Source organism: Homo sapiens, chromosome 1, assembly GCF_000001405.40.
Source record: "Homo sapiens chromosome 1, GRCh38.p14 Primary Assembly".
NCBI lineage: Eukaryota > Metazoa > Chordata > Mammalia > Primates > Hominidae > Homo > Homo sapiens.
Genome location: NC_000001.11, coordinates 231,924,962 through 231,946,518, shown reverse-complemented (window position 1 = coordinate 231,946,518; position 21,557 = coordinate 231,924,962). Strand labels below are relative to the sequence as shown.

The 21,557-nt window shown below is 44.4% G+C and overlaps 1 protein-coding gene and 2 long non-coding RNA genes across 11 annotated transcripts in view; all 3 read right to left on the bottom strand.

The window, feature by feature from the left end:
- TSNAX-DISC1 (TSNAX-DISC1 readthrough (NMD candidate)) overlaps nucleotides 1–21,557 on the bottom strand; it is a 512,620-nt gene that overhangs the window by 94,754 nt on the left and 396,309 nt on the right. The window lies entirely within an intron of this gene.
- DISC1 (DISC1 scaffold protein) overlaps nucleotides 1–21,557 on the bottom strand; it is a 414,483-nt gene that overhangs the window by 94,754 nt on the left and 298,172 nt on the right. The window lies entirely within an intron of this gene.
- Nucleotides 1,314–20,685, bottom strand: DISC1-IT1 (DISC1 intronic transcript 1). The gene is made up of 4 exons (NR_126441.1): nucleotides 20,569–20,685; nucleotides 5,469–5,591; nucleotides 2,560–2,770; nucleotides 1,314–1,596 (listed from the first exon to the last, which is right to left on the bottom strand). It is a non-coding gene; the product is annotated as a DISC1 intronic transcript 1 (long non-coding RNA).

Below are 21,557 nucleotides of genomic sequence, written 5' to 3'. Positions count from 1 at the left end.
TGCCCATTCAGTATAATATTGGCTGTGGGTTTGTCATAAAAAGCTCTTATTATTTTGAGATACATTCCATCGATACCTAGTTTATTGAGAGTTTTTAGCATGAAGGGGTGTTGAATTTTGTCGAAGGCCTTTTCTGCACCTATTGAGATAATAATGTGTTTTTTGTCATTGGTTCTGATTATGTGATGGATTATGTTTATTGATTTGCATATGTTGAAACAGCCTTGCAACCCAGGGATGAAGCTGACTTGATTGTGGTGGATAAGCTTTTTGATGTGCTGCTGGATTCGGTTTGCCAGTATTTTATTGAGGATTTTCACATCTATGTTCATCAGAAATATTGGCCTGAAATTTTCTTTTTTTGTGGTGTCTCTGCCAGGTTTTGGTATCAGGATGATGCTGGCCTCATAAAATGAGTTAGGGAGGATTCCCTCTTTTTCTCTTGTTTGGAATCATTTCAGAAGGAATGGTACCAGCTCCTCTTTGTACCTCTGGTAGAATTCGGCTGTGAATCCATCTGGTCCTGGACTTTTTTTGGTTGGTAGGCTATTAATTGCTGCCTCAATTTCATAACTTGTTATTAGTTTATTCAGGGATTCCACTCCTTCCTGGTTTAGACGGGAGGGTATACGTGTCCAAGAATTTATCCATTTCTTCCAGATTTTCTAGTTCATTTGCATAGAGGTGTTTATAGTATTCTCTGATGGTAGTTTGTATTTCTGTGGGATAGGTGGTGATATCCCCTTTATCATTTTTTATTGCGTCTCTTTGATTCTTCTCTCTATTCTTCTTTATTAGTCTGGCTAGTGGTCTATCTGTCTTGTTGATCTTTTCAAAAAACCAGCTCCTGGATTCATTGATTTTTTGAAAGGTTTTTCTTGTCTCTATCTCCTTCAGTTCTGCTCTCATCTTAGTTATTTCTTGTCTTCGGCTAGATTTTGAATTTGTTTCCTCTTGCTTCTCTAGTTCTTTTAATTTTGATGCTAGGGTGTCAATTTTAGATCTCTCCTGCTTTCTCCTGTGGACATTTAGTGCTATAAATTTCCCTCTACACACTGTTTTAAATGTGTCCCAGAGATTCTGCTTTGTTGTGTCTTTGTTCTCATTGGTTTCAAAGAACATCTTTATTTCTGCCTTCATTTCATTATGTACCCAGGAGTCATTCAGGAGCAGGCTGTTCAGTTTCCATGTAGTTGTGAGGTTTTGAGTGAGTTCCTTAATCTTGAGTTCTAATTTGATTGCACTGTGGTCTGAGAGACTATTTGTTATGATTTCCATTCTTTTGCATTTGCTGAGGAGTGTTTAACTTCCAATTATGTGGTCAATTTTAGAATAAGTGTGATGAGGTGCTGAGAAGAATGTATTTGGTATTTATGTGATGGATTAAGTTTGTGATGGGGTGGAGAGCTCTGTAGATGTCTATTAGGTCCGCTTAGTCCAGAGCTGAGTTCAAGTCCTGAATATCCTTGTTAATTTTCTGTCTCGTTGATCTTTCTAATATTGACAGTGGGGTGTTAAAATCTCCCACTATTATTGTGTGGGAGTCTAAGCCGCTTTGTAGGTCTCTAAGAACTTGCTTTTTGAATCTGGGTGCTCCTGTATTGGGTGCAGATATATTTAGGAGAGTTAGCTCTTCTTGCTGCATTGATCCCTTTACCATTATGTAATGCCCTTCTTTGTCTCTTTTGATCTTTGTTGGTTTAAAGTCTATTTTATCAGAGATTAGGATTGTAACTTCCGCTTCTTAAACTCAAGCAAGCCTCTTTGCCAGCTTAGGCTTCTGAGTGTGCACAGTATGGCCAGTCTGTGCTTTCCTAGGCCTGAGGGTGCAGGGGGCTTGCTGCGTTAAGGGTATGTGGAAGGAAAGTGAGTGGAAAGGGACTGTGGTGGGTGGGCTTCCCCAGGAAGCTGACCCTGAGGTAGAGTTTAACACCCTGGATGCTTATTAGGGAGTCTCTTCTGCTTACCACCTGTGAAAGTGCAGAGAAGAGGCAGGATTGCACGGAGCTGCAAAGCATATCTGACAAATGCCCCAGCCAACCCACAGGGAGCTCTGAAGCCAAGGAGCCCTTCTTCCGAGTTAGCACAAGGGACAAGGCTTTTATGCCTCTGCATTGATTGGATACCAGATCCAGATGCAACTTTGGACAAGGCCATTTTCTTTAGCCCCCACAAACCTGAAAGGCTGACAGCTGGGAGTAGCTGCAGAAACCTGACCCTTCCTTCCAGAAGAAGGATCTGGGCAGTGCATCCAAGCCCCCACCACAGAGCAGGTAGACAAAACTCAGACACACATGCTGGAGTGTCTGTGCACAAATCTGCAAGACAGTCATGGTGAGGGAAAACAGAGATGTGCAGAAAAATAGAGCTGGAGGCTGGGTTCAGTGGACCAGTGCTCTGGCACCTCTGCTTTCTGATATAGAGTCCAAGGAATTCAAGCATTCTAAACTCATACCTGGTCTCCTAATCATTAATCATTAAGAAGTCATATTTGTGGCTGGGTGTGGTGGTTCATGCCTATAATCCCAGGACTTTGGGAGGCCGAAGCAGGTGGATTACCTGAGGTCAGGAGTTCAACACCAGCCTGGTCAACATGCTGAAACCCCATCTCTACTAAAAATACAAAAATTATCCAGCTGTAGTGGCACATGTCCATAGTCCCAGCTACTCAGGAAGCTGAGGTAGGAGAATAGCTTGAACCCAGGACGTGGAGGTTGCAGTGAGCCAAGATTGCATCACTGCATTCCAGCTTCTGTGACACAGCGAGACCCTGTCTCAAAAAAAAAAAAAAAAAGTCATATTGTCAAGTCATGTTCTTCGTCAACAATCATGTTCTTTTTCATTTTCAGTATTTTATGATGCTTTGACATCTTGGGGCCTTGCTGACTCTAGAGGGACTGCTCCTCCCAGGGTCATTCCTAGAAAGAGTAAACAACTAACCTGTGAGCACACCCTTGCTAGGATAACCAAGAAATCCAGAACCCACACCCCCAACCACCTCCTGTACTAGGGTCTCACATGCTGGGCTACTATCCTTTGCCCCTGGCATCAGATAACTAGGGACACCCCCTATACTCCAGAGTCCACGGAAGTTATTCAAACTAGCTAATCCCAAGCCTGGTTGTCTTGCCTTTCCCATTCCTTCTCACAGAAACCGCAATACTCTTGCCCACATCTTCCCCCTCACTCTCTCTACCTCCTCACCAATGCTGGTGCATCGCCATGTGGCCTGGCATAGCATGGCATGTCCCAGCCCTTGGGAACTGTGAGTAACAAACTCTTTTCAATGGCAGCTGTCTCCTGATCTGTTGGCCTCATCATGCCTGAATAATACATTTTAAAGCATCAAGGTAGGACAATAGAACATGCTATATTTAGCCATTTACTAGACTGATTTATCTCTGAAAATATGCAGATATATAGTATAGGGGCCTTGGGCTGTATCACGGCCCCAGCCCCACATGTATTAGTGGTGAGGCTGCTTTTACCGATATCCACAGTTAATTCTAAAATGGACAAAGGAAGAGAAAAAGGCAAGCCTTCTTAGCTACGAGCATGACATTATGAAGGGGCTGAATTTCAACCTTTTCAAACTAGTCCACAGGGAACATAATCCTTGATCTCCCACAAACCCCAGCAGTCTGTGTTATAAGGCTCCCAGACAGCAATTTTCCTGGTAGAAGCAGGAAGGAGGCAATGCCCGGTGCTCAGCACAAGGACCTATGGGCGGCTGGGAGTGTCCCTGCTGGTACAACTCAGAGTATTCAACACAGTTTCCTGAAGCTAAAATGTGGCGCCTCTGGCCATGGCGTTTTCTTTTTTTTCTTTTTTATTTATTTTACTTTATTTTATTTTTGAGACAGTCTCACTCTGTTGCCCAGGCTGGAGTGCAGTGGTGCAATCTCGGCTCGCTGCAACCTCTGCCTCCCAGGTCCAAGCAATTCTCCTGCATGGGCCTTCTGAGTAGCTGGGACTACAGGCATGTGACACCACGCCAGGCTAATTTTTGTATTTTTAGTAGAGACGGGGTTTCACCATATTAGCCACGGTGGTCTCAAACTCTTGACCTCAAGTAAATCTGCCCGCCTTGGCCTCCCAAAGTGCTGGGATTACAGGCGGGAGCCACTGCCCCTGGCCTGGCCATGCCATTTTCTGTTTCCATGCAGCACAGCTGGGAAATAGAGAAGGTTGAATGCACAGCTCTGATGGAAACTATGACTGCTGTCTTCTACAGGGCCACCCAGCAGGTTCCCTCTTAGGGGAGGAGCCTACACCTCCCCTGCACCTTTTTATACTTGTCCTTCTTCCTGGAAGTAGATCCCAGAAAAACCTGCTTGATACCTGCACTGGCTTTCCCTGGATCTTGAATAAAATCCAAATCCTTCCCAAAACCTTCAGGTGGGGCATGGTCAGCCTTGCTTGTTTTTTCCCTCTTTCCCTCATCCCCTGGTTACCTCGTCCCCCGGCCCCCAGATCACACGTCTGGTTTTCTCATCTCCACTGCAGGAGCTCTTTCCCCATCCTCTGTCTGGCACGCTCTGCTCCCTCCCTGTGGGGGCAGCTTGCTTATCCTTTAAGCCTTGTCTTAAATGTTCCCGCCTTTGAGGGCACTTTCCCCTACAGTTCTTGGCTGGCTGCCACCCTGATAATTTGCTCTCTGATCCTTTACTGGTGCCTCTGCAGTCCTTTTAACAATTATATATTTTTTGTTTTTTATTTTTGTCTTTCCCATTAGAATTCGAGTTTCAGACCAGGCGCGGTGGCTCACGCCTGTAATCCCAGCACTTTGGGAGGCTGAGGCAGGCAGATCACGAGGTCAAGAGATCGAGACCATCCTGGCCAACATGGTGAAACCCCATCTCTACTAAAAATACAAAAATTAGCTGGGCATGGTGGCGTGCACCTGTAGTCCCAGCTACTCGGGAGGCTGAGGCAGGAGAATCGCTTGAACCCAGGAGGCAGAGGTTGCAGTGAGCTGAGATTGCGCCACTGCACTCCAGCCTGGTGACAGAGCAAGACTCCATCTAAAAAAAAAAAAAAAATTGAAGTTTCATGGGGAGAGCACCCCATGGTGGGCTCTCCATACACGTTTGTTGGATTATCTATGAGCTCTCCTACCTCGCTTTGCTGGCCTTGCTCCTGGAATCTCACTGTTGCTTTATAAAGCAGAAAAAGGAAGGTAGGAAAGCCTCTCGGGGATGGGCACAGGCAGTGGGAATGTGGGAGCCGGCTGAGTGTTATGAATTAGCAGAATAGGGGTCACTGGTGTCTTATATGTCCAAGCTTTGGTGTGAATACTCAGCACCTCCTGCCTGCAAGAAGCCCAAAAACTCTCATTGCAGGCATGCAGAGCAGCCCAATGTAGGGATATCTGTGCAATGTGAAGGCTGCCATACCAAATCCTAACCCAAGAACTCAGATTCAGGACTGTGGGTGAAGGGGAACCTCCCACCCACCCATCTGTTCACCTGCATGCCTATGAGAGGAGGTGTTTGTAAGCCAGCGTTCTGTGCACCCTGCGAATGCCCATGTCTTAATCTGCTCCCCACCTGCCATCTGATGGGTGTGGCAGAGCCGGAGGAACATGTCAGCTGGAAAGCAGAGGAAAGAATGTTAAAGCTCCCTGCTGTGATGCACCCGCAAGCTGGCCACAGCCAGCCTCTCATTGCAATCAAGAACGTCATGGAGCAGCAAATGTTGAAGGCAGAGTCTCAATTTCAGTCTTTGGCTTTAGAAATTGTATTTGGGGTAATGCTAATGTGAAAACTGCATGTATTAAAACAAAGTGCAATAACACGCAGCATCTCTAACAGCTTACAATGAGTGTCTTCTTTCCTTTCTCCCCCACCCCCTTCCTTCCTCTCAAATACACCCTAAAAGAGCACAGGGTCTAGGAGAATTTAAAAATAGACTCACATGGATTTCAAGTGGAGTAAACTAAATGAGTCCAATTTTCTATGCCTTTCATTTTAAATTATGTGCTGAATGTCGGGAAGCATAAGATGTAAGTGAGGAGAATACGACATTTAAAATCTAATTTTCAAAAATTGGGTCCTAAGGCAGAACAGTGAAAATGCATTTACACATATAATTGCGCCTGCAAATCAACACTGGCAGAACAAGTGTCCCCCTTGGCTCGGGAGAGTGCCTGGCCGGGGCTCACCAAGCCATGGGAAACCAATTCACTCACTCGGCAGGTATGTGCTGAGTCCCTGCTAGGTGCCAGCTGGTGCACTTGATGCCCAAGTGGATCGTACTCTCCAGCTCATGGCCTCAAGAACCGTGCAAACTGGTGAGAGAATTGCACAGGGAAAGCAGTCTTTACCACACACAGAGAGAGGGGAAGGACAGAGGACAAGATAGAATAGCAGTGAGCACCAGGAAAGGCACTTTCTCAGTGGAGGTGGAGGTGAGGGAGGTGTCCTGTCATGGAGGAGGGAAACAGCTGAGTTAAAATATTAAGAATAAGCGGAGAAACCCAGGCATGGTGGCCCATACCTGTAATCCCAGCACATTGGAAGGCTGAAGTGGGTGGATCACCTGAGGTCATGAGTTTGAGACCAGCCTGGCCAACATGGTGAAACCCCATCTCTACTAAAAATACAAAAATTAGCCAGGCACAGTGGCACGTGCCTGTGATTCCAGCTACTTGGGAGGCTGAGGCAGGAGAATTGCTTGAACCTGGGAGGCGGAGGTTGCGGTGAGCTGAGATCGCGCCACTGCACTCCAGCCTAGGTGACAGAGCAAGACTCCATCTCAAAAAAAAAAATAGAATAAGCAGAGAACAGGGCAGGTAGTAGGAAGGAATGCCAATGGTAAGGAGCTCATACTCAGGGGCTTGGAAGAAGAGGGAGGATGGGACATATTAGGGAAACTGAATGTCCGGGCTGATTGAAGATTAGCATGTAAGGAAGGCAAGAGAGGATGAGAGGGGAGTTTTGAGAAATAAAGATGGAGGCAGAAAACTGAGGGCATGACAAGAAACGTGTGTGAATCCCTGCAGGAGTGTGGATTTTCTCCCACAAACAAAGGGAAGCCATTCAAGGGCCCTACAAAGGAGAATGATACGGCCACTTTCTTAGTTCATTACAGATGGAGAAAGGTGGGTTGTTAGGAAAGGTATTTAGGAAATAGAATTGACAGGACTTCGTGTTAGGCTGGAGTCATTCATTTATTCATTTATTCGCTCAACAACTACTTATTGAGCAACTACTACATGCCAGGCACTATTCTAACAGCTAGAGCTATGACGGTGAAAAAACAGCATTAAATAAGTGGATATTTGTAAAAATGCTTAGAGCAGTTCCTGACACTTGGAAACCACTCTATTACTACTTATTAAATAGAATTAATACAATAAAACACATATGTGCTGACATTCCAAGAGGGAAGACAGCTAATAATAAGCAAAGTGGTAAGTAAACATACAATACACTGATGCTGATAAGCATAAAGGACGATTACGTGTAGGAGGGGGGCTGTCATCTTAAATTGGGTGGTCGGAGGCGACCCATTTGAGATGCTGACATTTCAACCAAGACCTGATGGAGTTGAGATTACACAATGAATAAAACAGAGAGGAAAGAATCCAGACTGACTCAAGGTTTCTGGTTTTGTCAGCTGGCAGAGTTTCTAACATGTAGGGTTAGATGTGTTTTTAACACAGCCAAGCAGAGTTGCCTAACAGAAGAAAGTCGTGAGGCTTTGGGATTCAGCAGAATGGGGAATAGGGACCGGCTGTCAGTTTATAGGATTAATTGAAGCTATTAGAATCATAAGACCATTGGTGGTGGGTGGATTGGTTTTATCGCTGTGGTACTGCATTGCCACACATTTAGCAGATTAAAACAACACGAATGATTGGTTTCATGGTTCTGTAGGTCAGAGGTCCAACACAGAAGGACTCGGCTGGCTCTCTGCTCAGTCTCACAGGTTGAAACCATGGTGAACGCAGGGCTATGTTCTCTTCTGGAGGCTCTGGGATTCAAGACATTTCTGAACTTGGTCAGGTTGTTGGCAGAATCCAGTTTCCTGTGGCCCTAGGCTGAGGTCCTCCTCTTCTTGTGTGCTGTCAGCTTCAGAGGCTGCCCACTTGCCCTGCCTCATGGGCCCCCCTTCACCTCCAAAGCCTGCAGTGGCATGTCATCCAGCACTTCTCACACTTCAAACCTCACTGTCACTCCCTCTGCCTCATGGCTCCTCCTGTGCCCAGCCTGAGAAAGTCTTCCACTTGTACGGGCTCATGTGATTAGATTGGGCCCATCTGGATAAACCAGGATGCTCTCCCCACCTTGGGATCCATAACCTTCCTCACTTCTGCAAAATCCCTTTAGCCTTGTAACATCCATCTTCACCGGGTTCTGGGGATAAGGGCATGGACATCCTTGGGAGGGTCATTATTCTGCCTACCACATCAGGCATGTGGAGGGAAAAGAAAACCCAGCTGGGGACAGAACCAAAAGAACAAAACCTTAAAATGACGGATGAGAAGGAAGGACCAGTAAAGAGAACAGAGATGGAGTGGTCAGGGAAGCCAAGAACCCCCGGGAGGAGATGTCTATAGAAGCCAATGAAGAATGAAGTGTTTCCAAAGCCATCAACTGGATCAGATGCTGCCAAGAAAGCTTGAAGAATTGAGTGGGATTTGCAATTAAAAAAAAAAAAGATTAGTTGTGATCTACAGCTGCTTTCATGCACACACGCAAACATACATGCATGTTTAGGAATCCCTCTTTCAGGTCATTTCCTACCAAGCTGCTGTGCTTCCCCACCCCATCGAAGCCGGGTCCCCTTCAGTCCCCAAGCCTCCACTGCCTTCTGAGATCTCCAAGTGCCCTGTCAGCTGCAGCCTGGACATCCCCCCATCCACCCGCCTCCACACAGGCCCAGCCAGCAGAGCCGCAGAGAAGAGACCATGTTCCGGTGCTGTAACCCTGGCCGGGGGCCAGGACCTTGTCAGTCAAATAGATGTGAGCCTGGTTTTGAAATAATCAGCCTGGCTTTATCCCACATGCATGCTGTCCCTCCTGTTGCATAAAATGAAAGCTCTGTGTGCAGAGGAAGCAGAGAATCAAGTCTTTTCCTACTAAATCCCCTGAGATCGATCCCCCTGATCTCTGAAAGCACTAAATGCCTATGGAAAATCTATTCTCCAACCCCCACAGTTTCCTGGTATTTGTTTTAAGTATTTAAAAAGCATTAGGCTTGACACCGGAATGGCTAATAAGTTAATGTCCTAGATATTTAGGAGGAGCTAGGTATAAAATTATTGGCTTAAAAGGATCCCAGAGAAACCATTTCTTCTAACAAGATCATAAAATGCACTTTCCCAGTGAGTCATATATAACTGGCTCAACTATATAATAAAATGGGGATACAGGTTTAATGGAAGACAGAACCTGTTCAACTGCAGATTAGAGTGTAATTTTTGTCTCACACTGCTGTGTGTTTGAAGGATTGTAGTATCTTTTTTTCTGATACTCTTTCTGTCATGAGACTCAGAGATAAGTGAGTAGTTTCTCGTTATCACAGGGACATGTTATAAATATGTCAGTTGGAGGGTGACTCCTTTGACCAAAAAGAAGAAATTATAGGAAGTTCAAGCTCAGTTTTTGATTGTACAGGTAATATCAGAAAGGCCTTTGTTGCTACCTTGGAATCTCATTAAGGTTTAAGAAGGAAGAGAGTTTCAAAGGATTGTGAAAATATATTTATTCTGCTTAAATATCTGAAAATAAGATGGATAAAACTCCTATGGGCTCCTTCTTAATTACAGGTATTGAGATTCAGAGACGAGACAAGAGACACAAAGGTAAAGAGCAGTGTCCTCAGCCACCATCATAAGCTGTCACCATGTGACAACAGTTCCCGGGATCTTTAGAGACAGGTTTGTCATCCTGTATGTAAACCTAGCCCTGCAACTCACTTCTCTGCCAGTTTTTCCTCTGTACTAGTTTAATTATGCAACTCTTCATGACATCTACCTTCCACAAATAAAAACATTCAAACCTCTTTCAAAATGAAGAATGCAATGCTGTTGTCTCACTATTTTTCACGGTGTGGGTAGAGAGAGTGCAGGGGTGTCAGACCTACCCTACCCTGTCACATGCCACCTCACCTGCAGGGAAGCAACGCTATATAACTGACCAGCCTAGAGCAGGGGCAGCAGAACTAGGAACTGGGGCTAGATGCTGGGAAAACTAGGTATTGGCTGGATGCTGGGAGAATATGGGCAGGATGAAAACGGTGAATCTATGAGAAAAAAAAGTGGAGTGGAAGGTGGCTGGGCCGAATGTCCAAGGTCAAGGCCAAAGAGGTGTAGATGACCCCAGGGCCGTGAACCAACCAGGGTCTGAGCCTGAGGAGTAGGAACCAGAATGTTGGGAGGTCAGCTCAGGGTGGTTCCTGGGGTCAGACTTTCACAAGCTCAGGACGTTTCCTGCAGCTGCCTCTCCCCAGCATGGACACACTTTCCTCTCTTTCAAAGGGGCAGCTGTCTAAACCTGGAATGGCCAGTTTCCTCCTGCAGTTTAATTACGTTGGGAAGAATACAGGAACCACTTAGGTGCTAGAGAGGAGGACGCAGTAAAAAGGTCTATCCACAACTGCAGTCATACCACATGCGCATGTAACTTCCATACGTTCAACCAGGTGCACTCTATGTGAATGTTTTGTGCAATAAAAATTCTGGAAAATTCTATTTTGCATGTGTGTTCTATTAAGTGTTGTCCATTGTGCACGTCCACATTTATATTACTGAAAAGACCCAAACACACAAAACCTTGTGTACTTTATGGGCAACTTAAGGAATTTTCAAGGGCAATTGTAAATGTGCTTAATTTATGCCTTAGGTGTTAGCTTTAGACGCCAAACCCTGTATAAGGTACGAGTCCCTCTACTCACCGAATTGGCTTTTTAAGCCCACCCCTTAACACCAGGATTACATAAGGATGCAATTGTTTAAAAATGTTTGCATGGCTTTCCTCATCAAAGGGTTTACACTGATTACGTTTCCTGAAATATCTATTGCTGAACAATTTTATATCACGCGTAGAGGACAATATGTACATTTGTAAGACATTCCCAACTTTCAGTGTAATCTTTCCTGCTTTGGAAATTTCAGTCTCTCAATTTTGAGAAGCACTCTAATAAAATTTAGTGCTTTCCTCCTTCCTCACCACGCCCCACGCCCCCAACACCCAATCTTTTGTGAATTTACTTCCTTTGTATATATGAGATTGTTGGAAAAAATCCGTGCTGAAAAATGCGGGGGACCCACCCCACCCAATGGTGTTTCCAAATGTCTTGTTTTCCCCTGTTAGATGTCACTTGCATATTAAACACTCACGACATGCCACAGTCCTCTGAGGCTTGGCTCAGTGCTCCCCAGAAAGTCCAGAGAGCAGACTGTATCATCCTGCTGTATTAAGATGTTCAGAAATCTCTTTAACACAATCCTTCGTTGTCCCATTTGGCAAGAGCTCCCTCTGAATGTGAGCACACAAGGGCTATGTCATTTATCTCTCTGGCTCAGTCCCAACCACAAGTTAATCCCTGCAGCGTGTTCAAACAAGAGCAGGAGGCTCTGAGATAAACCCTTTCTTCGGTTTTCACCAAACCGCTCTCTAAATCAACTCCAGTGGAGGAAGCACAATCCAGAATTAAGCTCTGCCCCTCAAATGAGGGGAGGACTGGGATGCCCTCCATCACCACCAGTAACCTTTGGGTTATCTCTTCAGAAATGGAAGTCAGGGTGTAACTATGAAATGGAACAATTTGTCCACCTGATCAAAATAAAGAATATGCATTTCCAATAATTTTATTAAACAGATCATTCACCTAAGAAACCTAACAATCATTGATTTAGCTGTTTTTCATCCAACTAGGTAACAATATATACGTTACATATCTTACAACTACAAAGGATTGCTATTTAAGAAAAATTAATACTAAAAGGATTTCACTTCCATAAGTTGCATATTTCTACTGTGATTTGCGTCACTTAAAAATGACTTGTTTCTTCACTTATCTGTGCTATGTTGTGTCCACTAAACCGCAGCACGGACCATTTAAGAGCAGCTGTTCTTGAGCTACAAGGACATTAACACACAGTCCCCACAGCATGGCCTCCACGCCCTGGATACACACGGAGGCTGAAGAGTAACTATTCCCATAAGATACAATGCTGAGGAGCTGAGACTTCCACACATTGTAAAGGAGTTTATTTCAATATTTAACTAACCAAAGTAGAAGTGGACGCTGGGTCAAAAGGAGAGGAAGGAGATGCAGACAGAGATGGCGACCCTGAAGCAAAGGGTGTGTCTAACGCTGCTGGGAAGCCCTCACAGCTATTGCTGCACGGTCACCCCCCTTTTCCTGCCTGGATTCTCCCTCCCTCTTCCCACTTTCTTCATTGTTGACTCCCTCTGCCCTTCCTTCCAGTGATATCATGGGAGAAATTTCAGCCTTGTCGAAGGTTGAAAAGGTGAGTGAATATTGGCTTCTCGGCTTCAGCCTCCTCTTCAAGGCCTATGTTCACAACAATAATTTTGCTGGAGCCCGGACCAGGAATCCTGCAGCAGAAATAGCCAGTCATGTTTCCAAGTAGTGCCGGTCTCAAGGGAGGCTCTTGGTGTCTCACCCTGACTCAGATTTGTGGAGGACAGGAGGCTGGGCCAATGACAGAACTCTGACCAATGAGGGAACTGCTCCATTTTGCCCCCAAACTTTCGGGTTGTAATTATACCCCTACTTAACTCATGACACCAACTCTTCCCCACCAATATGTTTGGAGAGACATATTTAATTTTAAAAGATGCCAGGTTAAAAGGAGGTTGGAAAATTTTTTTTCTGGAAATTCACCAATGTCCTTTTAAAAATCAGAGATATGATAGAATGTCACAATACTAGGGATGAGAACGAATGTTTTAAGAAGAGGTAGCAAGTGTGCCATAATCAAAATGGCAGATGCTTTACTCACACCACACCAGGCATGTGGAGGGAAAAGAAAACCTGGCTGGGGACAGAACCAAAAGAACAAAACCTTAAAACGACAGGATGAGAAGGTGCCTTAGAGGTGGTGATAAGTGGCTGGATTATTTATTTTGTGCAGGATAATTATTAGGCATATTATTATCACTAGATACTTGTTTCTACTTTCAAAGCAAAAACCCAAAGCTCCTCTTACAATTGAAAGGCTGTCAGTGTAGGTGGTTAAAAGCAAGGCTAGCTGAAGTTAATCTAGCATAGCCTGTGAACTCAGGCTAACCTAGGTTAACTTCACAACTTACCAGCACAGTCAACTGAGCTTGGGTAAGATAACTAGCATCTCTACACCTCATTTCCTCCTCTGAAAATTGGGACAATACTATTACTTCCCTCACAGAGTGTCTATAAGGAGTCAAGGAAATAATGGGTACTCGACAATGGTTAACTATTATCATCGCTGCTGTTGTCATTGTCATCATTTTTATCCTCAACACCATCACTATGGTGATGCTCGGGTGGTATAGGGCCATTAGCCTCCATTTCACATATGATTACATTGGATGTTTTTATTAGGAGTATAAATTGGGCTTCAGTTTGAAAGTAACTTCACAACTAATTGGCGCTCTCCAGGGTTGAGAATTAGAGGCAAAATACGATTTTTTTCACAGGCTGCCAGACCAAAAATTTTGAATTTTAGGATGCCAACTCTAGAGAAATAGTCAATGCATCTACTACAGGATACATTATTCAATTTTAAATGTCTTCACAGCCTCAGTCACCCACTGAGCTTAGAAGAGACATAAATGATTGGCTCCTGGAGAGGCAGTGGGAATGATGGAAAGAGGATGGCTACAAGTCACACAACCCCAGAAATGCCATGTACACTGACTAGAATGTGAATGGCACCCCTGGAGTAACACAGTACCCTTGAAGCAGAGTGAAAGAGCATAGCCTTTGAGGTCAAGCAAATTGAGATTCAAATCCAGCCCCTACCATGAACTCAGGCATGTTACTAAACCAAAGCTCCATTTCCTAATTTGTAAAATGGAAATAATAATCCCTATGTGTTAGGTTATCATGAGGATTAGAAATACTAAATATACAGGGTCCAGCAGTGTGTTCACAGGTCCTCAATAGGAGCTATTAATAGTACCATAGCTATTACTTCTATCATTCTATTGGTTCTAATATCAAATGTGGGACAAATATTGGTCTTAAACTAGATCAGTAGTCTCCAGGTATTTTTAAATAATGGCATTTCCCACTAGCACCTTTCCTCTTACCACTAAATCAGGTGGTGCTGATTATGCAGCCCTAAGAAAAGACAAGAGACTCATTGTCATTAGGTAGGTTATTTTGCAAGATTACATCTTCCCTGGTAGGGCTACTTCTCTCTGCATAACTCCAGAGGCTCCCATTCTTATGGTCCGCCACACCAAAGTCCTGACACTGAGTTAATGCTAGAGACTGTGCTTGCAATTTGGGACACTGCCACCAGGTGTCAGTACTGAGCAAAAAACACGTATGCAAATAGTCGGGCTCCCCACGGCCATGAGCTGGTGAAAAATATCACAGGTGGGACCAGGGGTTGGTGGCTCACACTTGTAAAACCAGCACTTTCAGAGGCCAAGACAGGAGGATTGCTTGAGGTCAGGAGTTCAAGACCACCCTGGGCAACACAGTGAGACCTTGTCTATAAAAAAAAAATTTTTTTTAATTATCTGGCATGGTAGCACACGCCTCTGGTCCCAAGTACTCAGGAAGCTGAGGCAGGAGGACCACTTGAGTCAAAGAGTTTAAGGCTGCAGTGAGTTATGACTATGCCACTCCACTCCAGCCTGGGTGATAGAGTGAGACCCTGTCTCAAAGACAAAAAAAAAAAAAAATCACAAGCAGTGTCAAAACTGAGCTATATGGTAGGTCCTCAAAGGATGATAGGGTCATCATGTGTCAGAACAGCACACATATTCTGTGCTCACACTTCTTAGCAGACTGGTTCATTCATTCACTCACTCATTCACTCAGTGAGTCCACAAATATTTATTGACCCTGCCAGGAACCAGTGAGTCAAGTTAAAATTTTATACGCAAACCCTCTCTAGGTCAGTATGTCATAAGTAAGTCCCTAGGGCATCTCCCGGTACATGGGCATGCCAACACAAATGCACCAGAACAGTAAGTTGCTGTGCAGACTCACCCATACATCCACCTAAGGTTAGAGAAATTCCTGCCAAGCCCAGGTCCAGGGTGAGTCAAGGGCTCTGAACACCACTGACTCAGAGAAGTCAAGCCTGGTGTAGCTTCTTTCGTATTAACGACCACCAGGAAATCAGGATGACCTTAAAGCACAGGTGGTCCTGCTCCCCTCTGGTCAACTAAGAACTACCTCCATCTCCTGGAGGTCCTTCCAGGACTAAACATGACCCCAGGACTTGGCCAGAGTGGGTCTTGAAGACAATGTCTAGTTTGGTAACAAACATATAGAAGTGGACCAAAAGCAGAATGACTAGAACAGAAGGACATGCCCAGCCTTGAGTGTATCAGTTGAGCTGCAGAAAAGGTCATGAATGGCTGCTTAAGTGCATGTAAGGAGCTAAGAGTCAATCCCAAATGGTAGCCTGGCTTCTGGGCCTCCACCCACACCTCTGCTCACAGATGGACCCCAGAAACTAGACTTGCATCTGGCTTGTAATCTTGTACATCTAGTCTCCAAGCCATCAGCTCTGCAGGTATTCTGTTTTCCTTTAGCCAAACAGCTGCAGCGAACTAGATAGCATTGAGTTTGCACCCATCTATGTTGATGGGTGCTTTGTCCTTGAGTATCTTGAAATGCTTCCCCAGCTGCCCCCTGCTCAGGAATATGAAGTCATAGATAATGGTTAGGATCTCAGATCAGTCACAAAACCCTTTTTAGAGGCTATGTGAGCCATATGGGGTAGAGGTTTGGAGGGCTGCTCCAGAGGCTCCCACTGCCTGGCTTGAATCCTGACTGTCACTTCCAGGCAGGAGACTGTGGGCAACAGACTTAACATCACTGTGCCAACATCATTTAATGCAAAGTGAAATTAAATAAAAATGATGGCAGCCACCTCTCACAGTTAGGGTAAAGATTAGATAAGTTTAATGTGTACAAAGCACTTAGAGCGATCCCTGGCACACGTAAACAAATGCACAGGAAATGTTAGGGTGAAAAGAACTCTGAGGCAGAAGCCCATCGACCCTCCCACTGCATCGGGCTACCCTGTGAACTCCGTGTGCGTCCCTGAGCCCACTAAACTTCCCTGACCTCACATCTCTCATCTGCACAACGCAAGGGTTAAAGGACAGGATCTCTAAGCGCCTTCCAATTCAAAAATCAAAGAAAAATAATAAGGGGAACATTTTCTGAAACTCTCTATTAAATAAATGCTTTTCTTTTTGAGTGATGCCTGTTAGTGAGAGCCTGGTTGATCCCAAAGCCCTTGCTTGTATCAGGTCCCAGGGGTTTTCGGGCCATCTCTCACTCCAGGCTTGATGTCCAGGGCTAACAGGGTCAATCCCACGCTACCTGCAGCTGGCACCATGGCCCCTGTGTCACCCAGGCTCCTAGTGTCATATTAGCAGCCAGGTTTGAGCAGCTCCTGCAATCCCTCACCCCTTAACTACTACAAAGCCTGGGGGACATCAGAAGTACAGCTCTCCTTCAACAACAACAATGGTGGAGTGTCCTCCTTTCAAACAACTTTTTCTTGTCAGTCTCAAAAGAAAACCAGGATTACCCTTCATTTGTTTCTTTCTTCCTATCTGGTTGTTAATCCTTCAAAAGCCCCTTTTCTGTCCCCTAAACTCCTTGAGCCACAGTGGGCTTCATGACCCAAATTAACTACAGAACAGTCTGCAAAAATCATCTGTTTGCTTGTCCAGAGCACCTTCCCCATAGCATTTTCCAAGAAAGGCTGATGACTTGCATATTTAAAGAGCAGGCTTGTCTGTGCTTGAAGCTGCGGCCGTGCTCTGAGGCAGCGCAGTGCCATGAGGGCTCATTAAGCCTGGGAAAAATAACAGCACAGCGGCAGACTAATAGACGACAGCATGAATGATTCAAGCCGTTTTCGGCGTCTCAGGGTTAAAAATACATTCCTTTGGCTGTGAGATTGTGTATTGTGAACAAGACTACTCAGGGACAGGATTTCCATATTTTGTCAGGAGTGGGGGAGGTGAGTAGGAGAGGAAGGATGAAAAGAACAATAATGCTACTTGAGGTTGCCTCCATGAAGAGCTAACTATCCTAAATATATCTGCACCCAATACAGGAGCACCCAGATTCATAAAGCAAGTTCTTAGAGACCTACAAAGAGACTTAGGCTCCCACACAACAATAGTGGGAGATTTTAACATCCCACCGTCAATATTAGACAGATCAACAAGACAGAAAATTAACAAGGATATTCAGGACTTCAACTCAGCTCTGGACCAAGCAGACGCAATAGACATCTACAGAACTCTCCACCCCAAATCCACAGAATATACATTCTTCTCAGCACCACATCGCACTTATTCTAAAATTGACCACATAATTGGAAGTAAAACACTCCTCAGCAAATGCAAAAGAACGGAAATCATAACAAACTGTCTCTCAGACCACAGTGCAATCAAATTAGAACTCAGGATTAAGAAACTCACTCAAAACCGCACAACTACATGGAAACTGAACAACCTGGTCCTGTATGATTACTGGGTAAATAACAAAATTAAGGCAGGAATAAATAAGTTCTTTGAAACCAATGAGAACAAAGTCACAACATTGTAGAATCCCTGGGACACAGCTGAAGCAGTGTTTAGAAGGAAATTTATAGCACTAAATGCCCACAGGACAAAGTGGGAAAGATCTCAAATCGACACCCTAACATCAAAATAAAAAGGACTAGAGAAGCAAGAGCAAATAAATTCAAAAGTTAGCAGAGGACGAGAAGTAAATAAGATCAGAGCAGAACTGAAGGAGATAAGAGACACGAAAAACCCTTCAAAAAAATCAATGAGTCCAGGAGCTGGTTTTTTGAAAAGATTAACAAAATAGATAGACCGCTAGCTAGACTAATAAAGAAGAAAAGAGAGAAGAATCAAGCTTGCACATTTCAAACGTAGGTGGGCACAGCCTTCCATACTGAGGATGCCTATGCAGAAAATAACCAAAAATCATCTCCTGCTGTCACTGCCCTTTCACTGACACTGCTTACTGAAAAGCCCCCCAACAGGACAAGAACATTATATTGAGAAACACTGTGTAGAACATTTGTTTAAATATCATGTCATCCCTATCTTTCTATGTGCCTTGCCTCTCCAGTTTTAATAGCTGAGAGCAGAAATCAAGTCTGATACTTTGTCCTTTTCTATGCCTTTCAGGGCCCTTCACTGAATGGGTGTTTGCTCTAAATTAATGGAATAAACACCAGAATGGGATGTTAGGGAGACTATAGAATAAATCTCTCAAGAAAAGTTTCCTAAATCAGAGTGCATGCTCACTTTGTAGGGTGGCTTGGATACAGGTCCACAGGAGAACTGCTGAAGGGAGTTCCTAGGTCCAAGTAGACAATGCACATCCCACCCTGGAATTGCAAAAGACAGAGTGGCCTGGCGGGGCAGCCCTCTGGAACTATAGCATCAACTTGTGGTGAGACAATGGCAAGGGGTCCAGCCAGGTATAGGTGTTGGGAGACACTTGAGCCTGCTCCGAAAAGGTCCTGATCAAGGGGGTCCAGCATTTGGAAACTAGTTCGTGGGCTCCTTGCCTATCTCCTTTGTTGCATAAAAATCCACGTGCCTAGCTCTCGTCGCATTTTATCAGGGCCCTTTACTTACTTGTGTGTCCTCTCCATCAATGACTTCCTTCGTATTCCAAGTACTTGGCATGGTTCCTGGCAAAGCATGGTTACCCATAAATAGAACACAATGAAGGGCAACCCAGGAGCAGGGAATGTTGGCAAGGTAGGCAGGTGGATGAGGGGTTTCAGGGAAGGATGGCTTTCACAAAGAGAGAACTACATGACACAGGAGAGTAATATGGAGTCCGCAATTCTTGAAGCATTGTACACATTACCAAGGCAGAATTTGATACCAGAACATGATAAAGGTCCAGCTACTCCAGCTACTCTGGGAAGAAATGAGGTCTTGGGAAGTTGAAGCATCAGGCTATGCAGAAATCTACAAATAACAAAAAATAACCTGATGATCCTGCTTTTTAGTGTTCTTAACCTAGAAATGTGTGAGAGTGCCTCATGCTTTGGGTCAGGATTGGTGTTAGGCTTGTAAGCCAATACATGGCTATAAATGGAAATTGCATGGCCACAGGGGTGGAAACCCAAACAGGGAATGAGAATGCTGAGCCTCTCCATCCTCTGTGACTCAAAGAAAAAGGGATTCGCCTTTCTAGTTGGAGAGCAACTAGTTGGAAGGACAATCCCTATACTATCACCATCCCCAAAGGCTTTGTGAGTGGGTTACAGAAAAGCACTGCAGCCAAAACTCTCACCACAGTGAAAGCCACGGTACCTAGAAAGCATCATTGGACTATCTGGAATTCTAAGTAAAAATTCCAGGAGGCCAATAGCCTTCTGAGAAAAATACATGAAGTGATGAAGACAATGCTTCCTCCCCTTGGGAAAATCTCATTCCTCAAATCTGGCCTTCCTTAAAGGAGGTCACAAAGGGAGCATGAGAAGTGAATTCACATTTGAGCCCTCTCTCCACCTAAGCTTTTAGTCCTTAGATTTAGTGGAGGAATAAATCTCTGCCCTTGCCTTTAAATTCAAGGAGCTTCCCTTCTCTTTTGTTCCCTGAGCTTGTCTTCTATTGCTTGTAAAAGTGCTATTACTGCCTCATCCTCCCTTTCAGGCTGATCTATTAATATCTGGACTCAAAGTAGCCACTGAAAATGTCAATTCATCCCTGTAGTGGATCAGGTACAGATATGACAGCCTGGGACCAGTCACCAAGTTTATAGAAATGGTGAGTCACAACAGCTACATCTCTAGATCCAAATGTCCTGTGCCTTAAGTACAGCAAGTTGTTCTGGTGAAAGAATGCACAATGAAGACAGGCTTCTGGGAAGAGCCTTTGTTCCTGCCATAACTGACGTTGCAATACTTGATCTGGCATTGTGAGTCTTCCTTTCCAGAATTTTGTATATTATACAAAATATTACACATGGATAACACACTAGTTTTTTTTACGTAAACCCACTTTTGATAGGGTTTTGAACTGTAGACACTCTATTGATCCCAAAGGTATTAATTTGCTTATTCCATAATAAGCTTTCTGTTCTCTTAAGTCTATCCACAAATGGGATATGTAGAAGAGCTTTTACTTTTTCACCAAGTTCATTTTCAGTACGTTAACTGAGAGCAACAATCTTGGGTTGAAAATATTCATAGAAATGGAATAACTAATTCTCTTCAGGAACACATAGTTCCATGCTGATAATCACCACAGTGGCAGCCAATTGCTAGCACTGAGTGTTTATTATGGGTGAGATATGGAATTAGTTGCCTAATGCTGCTATGACAAAGTATCGAAAACTGGGTGGCTTAAAACTACAGAAACTTACTCCGTCATTGTCCCAGCAGCCAGAAATCCAAAGTCAAGGTGTTAGTCCAGTGGGTTCCTTCTGAGGCTCTGAGGGAGAATCTTTTCCGTGCCTCTCTCCCAGCTTCTGGTGGTTGTCAGCAACCCGTAGCATGCCTTGGCTTGAGATGCCTCACTACTGTCTCCGCCTCCATCTTCATATGTCATTCCCCTCTGTGTGTCTGTGTCTCATATCTCCCACTCCTTTCTCATAAAAAATACTAATCATTGGATTTCAGGGCCCATCCTAAATCAAGGATGATCTTATCTCAAGATCCATAAATCTGCAAAGATCTTATAATCCAAGAATGGTCACATTCACAGGTATCAGGGGTTAGGATTTGGACTTATCATTGGTGGGGATACAATTTACCCCATTACAGGCTTAATAGGAGGCATGTTACATGTGTTGTCACCAGTGGAGGGGAAGCTCTGAGGTCATCTTGTCCCACACTTTCATGACCTGTGAACATCTGGGTAATATCCCTGGTAGCAGCCATTCAGCTGCACTTGACTCTCTGCAGTACAAGGGAACTCTGAATTCTGTGACAGAAGCCATTCCAGCCCCAGTCCACTCTAGTGGTTCTAAAACCTTCCTGAGTGCACAGCATCACCATGCAGGTGGTAGTTCTGTCATCATCGTCACCGTTTTTCAGATGAAGAAACGAAGGTTTGGAGTCAGATGTGACTTTCTAAGATCATGCAAGCAGTGAGCAAGCCTTGAAATCCTGTGTTCGGGTTGGGGCCCGTATTTTTAACTGTATGCCATTCTGATTTAGCAAGAAGAGGATAGGGGAGCAGCCAAAAGTTTCCAGATGAATTCTTCAGTCCCTCAGTAGCACCATAAACACGAACCTCTAAGTGCAGAATCACCTTGCCACACCCAGTGCAATTTTGCCCTCACCTTATCCATAAGACAAATGCTGGTGCTAGGTCAATAACTGGAACAAAAGAATCATTTAAAAAAAAAAA